Genomic DNA, 4,410 nt, shown 5'->3' with positions numbered 1-4,410 from the left:
ACTTGCCAGGGTTTAAGGTCCCCTGCAACACTGGAGCCTGCCCCTATGTCCTTATTCCAGCCCTGGGTCCCATTCCCTCCTGATCAGTGTCCTCATGTTAGCAAAAGAGACCTGAGAGGATAGAGGGTCCATTTGTGATGTAATTCAGCCACACACAGGGTTGGACTTTGGATGTGGCTTTCAGAAATTTTGTCTCTCTTGCTACAGGAGATAAGGGGTGTTGTTTTGTTTTGTTTTGAGACAGGGTCTCTCTCTCTGTTACCCAAGCTGGAGTGCAGTGGCACGATCATGGCCCACTGCAGCCTTGGCCTCCCAGGCTAAGGTGATCCTCCCACCTCAGCCTCCAGAGTAGCTAGGACTATAGGCGCCCACCACCTCCAGCTAATTTTTCAACTTTTTGCATAGACGGGGTTTTGCCATGTTGCCCAGGCTGGTCTTGAACTCCCGAGCTCAGTCGATCCGCTTGGCTCAGCTTCCCCAAGTGCTAAGATTACAGGCATGAGCCACGGCAGCCAGCCAGAATCATTAAATTTTAAGCCTAATCAGATCAGGCAACCAATTCCTGAAAACCCAGAATCAATTCAGAGAATTCATCTTTAAGATTCTCTAGGACCAGCCTGCTTCCAGTACCAAATTCTGCTATCAGTCAGGAATGAATCAGAGAAGCTGAGCCCCTTGGAGGTAGGGGCATGTATTGGTGCATGTGACATTATTTGTCACGGGGACTTGGCCTTCTGCAACTGTGGGAGCTGGGTAAGCCACCTCTCCAAGGCTGTCTCCAAGGGCAGGCAGAGGTGAGGGGTATGTAAGGTGAGGGGGCAGGGCCGCAGGAATAGACCAAGGTGGCAGCTCTTGCGGCAGCACTGGGCCGAGTGTCCTGCAGGAGGAGCTGGCGCTGTTTGTCACTGAGCTGACCTTTACATCTGACCCAGGGCTTGGCTCAGGGAAGGTGGAGCCCTGCGGCCGCTGCCTTCCCATACTCCCGAGGCGAGCCCACTGGCAGGCGACGATGTGTACGACACGTGACACCTCCTGCTTCACTTCTGCCCTCAGATCTCCCACAGGTTTGCCCTTATGACCACCCTAACAGAAACATTCAAGAAAGCAAAGCCAGGAAATGTCGTTCAGCCTTGCCTAGACCATGTACTCCAAAGCCACCACAATGCCTTTATTTACATACTAGGATTAGATATCACAAAGGACTGTTGGGAGCCAGATCCACAAAACCCTAAGAAAATAGACCAGTGTCTGGAGAGAGTGGAAAGAACTTATTTCCTCGGAGTCCCTCCTTGCAGGGGTGTCCCTGTAAGCGAGCATATCTGTAGCTGGTCAGGCCCCTTCACACGTGGTGCAGACTGGCGCTGTGAGACTCCAGGACTGCCCTTCCGCTGAAACCCATCAGACTCGGGAAGGGGCAGGACTGCGGGTGCTGCGTGGTGTGTCGGGGTGGCCTCCTGCTAAAACATCCTTGTTCTGATGGTCCTGTGATCTACAGGGGAAGGGAAGGGCTTCAGCTTTGATGGTCTGCTCACTGGCCCCTTTCAGAGGAAAATAATCTATCTTGGGTTTTCCAGAATCCAAATCTAAACGGTTTGTAAACTAGAAAAACTGCAGATAGTGGGGGAGATATGTACAGGTGTGGGTACACACACATGTGCGCACACACAGAGCCCCATCCGTGGTTTTATTGTTACTGCAGATTTCACAGATCACAGCTTGGGCATAGAAAACTGTTACATGGGCCAGGCGCGGTGGCTCACGCCTGTAATCCCAGCACTTTGAGAGGCCGAGGCGGGTGGATCATCACCTGAGCTTGGGAGTTCAATACCAGCCCGACCAACATAGAGAAACCCCATCTCTACTAAAAATACAAAAAATTAGCCAGGTGTGGTGGCGCATGCCTGTAATCCCAGCTGCTCAGGAGGCTGAGGCAGGAGAATCGCTTGAACCCGGAAGGCGGAGGTTGTGGTGAGCCAAGATCATGTCATTGCACTCCAGCCTGGGCAACAAGAGTGAAACTCCATCTACAATAAATAAATACATAAAAAACTGTTATATGTCTTCCAATATTGTGGTGAGATTTTGCCTTGAGCATTCAGCCTGCCTGACAAGTGGGAAATACCAGATAGCCTTTTTCAGGGAAATGTGGCTCGTCGGGGGCATTTGAGGCTGGGAAGTGAAGGCTCTGCAGTGCAGGAGGATGTGGACCTCCTCCTCTCCAAAGCGGCCTCTGCATTTGCACCTGTGTCTCAGCACAGGAGGTGCTGTGGGGCGGCTCGAGCTCCAGGCGGCCCTCTTCTGCTGCGTCTCCCATGGGAGTCCGTGGTCCTGCCTGGTGCCCAGTTTGTCTGGCCTGAGGTCCATAGAATCAAACCCCACCTCTGAGGCCCTGCAGCTCTCCCTCAGCCTCTAGGAGCCTGGGAAATGTCAGCGTGGGGTGGGAACCCCGGGGGCTTCTTGCACCGCCCTCCTCCTGCCTGCTCTGTGGTGCTGGGGCATCTCTGGGAGGCTTAAACTCTCCCCCTCCATAGTCTAGAAAGAAGGCACGGGCCTCTTGCCCTGAGACCCTGGTTTTAGTCTGTTCAGGCTGCTATAATAAAATGCCACAGATGGGTTGGCTTATAACAGAAGTTTATTTCTCACAGTTCTGGAGGCTGGATGTCCAAGATGAAGGCACTGCTAAACTCTGCATCTGGAGAGGGTGGTTTCCTGATTCACGGACAATGTCTCCTCCCTGTGTCCTCACATGGCCTCTACTCTGTGCGCACCTGGAGAGAGAGCGCCCCGTCCCTCCCTCTTCTGATGAGGTCACCAGCCCTATCAGGTGAGGGCCCTGGCCTTAGGCTTTCATTTCACCTTAATCTCCTCTCTAGAGGCTCCGCCTCCGCACACTGGCACCTGGGGCCAGGGGGCCAACACCCTCCACAGTGCCTACCCATCCCCTTCTTGGAAGCGGGTGCAGGGTGCAGCGTGTCTTCTGAGATACAACTTTTTTTCTCCCAGAAAAATATTTTGTCTCTTTGAGAAACATTTTAATGTATAAATGTTATGCTTTAATCCTTTTGGAATCTTAGCCTGTTGGAACTCAAAACCTTGTTTCTTTCTCAAAAGCTTACCTTCTTTCCAGATGTCTGGAAATGTTTCATACTTTAATCTGGGTAGGGGTTATATGAATGTTCACATATGTAAACATTAATCAAACTACAAATTGAAGATTTTTGCATTTCACTATCCCTATATGTTACTATTCCATAATGTACAGTTTTTTGTTTGTTTGTTTGTTTTTTTGAGACGCAGTTTCACTTTTGTTGCTCAGGCTGGAGTGCAATGGCACAATCTAGGCTCACCGCAACCTCCACCTCCTGGGTTCAAGCAATTCTCCTGCCTCAGCCTCCATGTAGCTGGAATCATAGGCATGTGCCACCATGCCCGGCTAATATTTTATTTTTAGTAGAGACAGGGTTTCTCCATGTTGGTCAGGCTGGTCTCGAACTCCCGGCCTCAGGTGATCCACCCACCTCAGCCTCCCAAAGTCTTGGGATTATAGGCATGAGCCACCGTGCCTGGCCTGTATAGTTATTTTTTTTAAAAACCCTTATGTATTCATCTGTTCTCTCATTGCTGTAAAGAACTATCTGATGCTGGGTAACTTATAAAGAAAAGAGGTTTAATTGACTCAGTTCCACATCTGTACAGGAAGCATGGCTAGGATGCCTCAGGAAATTTACAATCATGGTGGAAGGTGAAGGAGAAACCGACACGTCCTACATGGCTGGAGCTGGAGGAAGAGACAGTGAAGTGGGAGGGGCTGCACACTTTCAAAACAACCAGATCTCATGAGAACCCAGTCACTATCCTGAGAACAGCAAGGGAGACATCTGCCCCCATGATCCAGTCACCTTCCACCAGGCTCCTCCTCCAATTTGACATGAGATTTGGGTGGGGACACAAATCCAAGCCATGTCACCTTACTAGCAAAAAATCTTTGCTTTTATGACAATGCTATGGGTTAAAGAAACCTAGATTATAAATCCAGTGCTAGACATGGGCTCTTTTGTGTCCTGTTCCTATCAGGACAATCCCAGTTCTGAAGCACTGCATGTGTCTGGCCAAAGAGGTAGATATGGTCATCATGTAACCTGCAGAGGGATTTGGGGGAGTTTCGATTAATATTGAAATAGTAGAACATATCTTTGGATAAATTCACCAGAAAGAAAAAACCCAAATAGCACGGCTGCTTCTGGCCAGGGGAACTGGCAGCCTGGGAAGTGGGGTTGGAGTACAGCTGTTTGTGCTGGTCACAATTTGTTTTTTTTTTTTTTTTTTTTTTTTTTTTACCATGAACATGTATTAATTTAAAAATAAAATCTGCAGAATTAAATAATTATTCAAAAGATGTATTTAAAGCTA

At 49.3% G+C, this 4,410-nt stretch overlaps 2 annotated features.

Annotated features, from left to right (window-relative positions):
* Positions 572-1,071: an enhancer, noted in NCBI's record as "H3K4me1 hESC enhancer chr18:12767029-12767528 (GRCh37/hg19 assembly coordinates)". NCBI's record gives its function as "activates a minimal SCP1, AML or CMV promoter by ChIP-STARR-seq in naive H9 embryonic stem cells {active_cell/tissue: H9 hESC(naive)}" and the evidence as "EXISTENCE:reporter gene assay evidence [ECO:0000049][PMID:30033119]".
* Positions 1,072-1,573: an enhancer, noted in NCBI's record as "H3K4me1 hESC enhancer chr18:12766527-12767028 (GRCh37/hg19 assembly coordinates)". NCBI's record gives its function as "activates a minimal SCP1, AML or CMV promoter by ChIP-STARR-seq in naive H9 embryonic stem cells {active_cell/tissue: H9 hESC(naive)}" and the evidence as "EXISTENCE:reporter gene assay evidence [ECO:0000049][PMID:30033119]".

Source organism: Homo sapiens, chromosome 18 (genome assembly GCF_000001405.40).
Source record: "Homo sapiens chromosome 18, GRCh38.p14 Primary Assembly".
Taxonomy (NCBI): Eukaryota; Metazoa; Chordata; class Mammalia; order Primates; family Hominidae; genus Homo; species Homo sapiens.
This window is presented reverse-complemented; position numbering and strand designations above follow the sequence as displayed.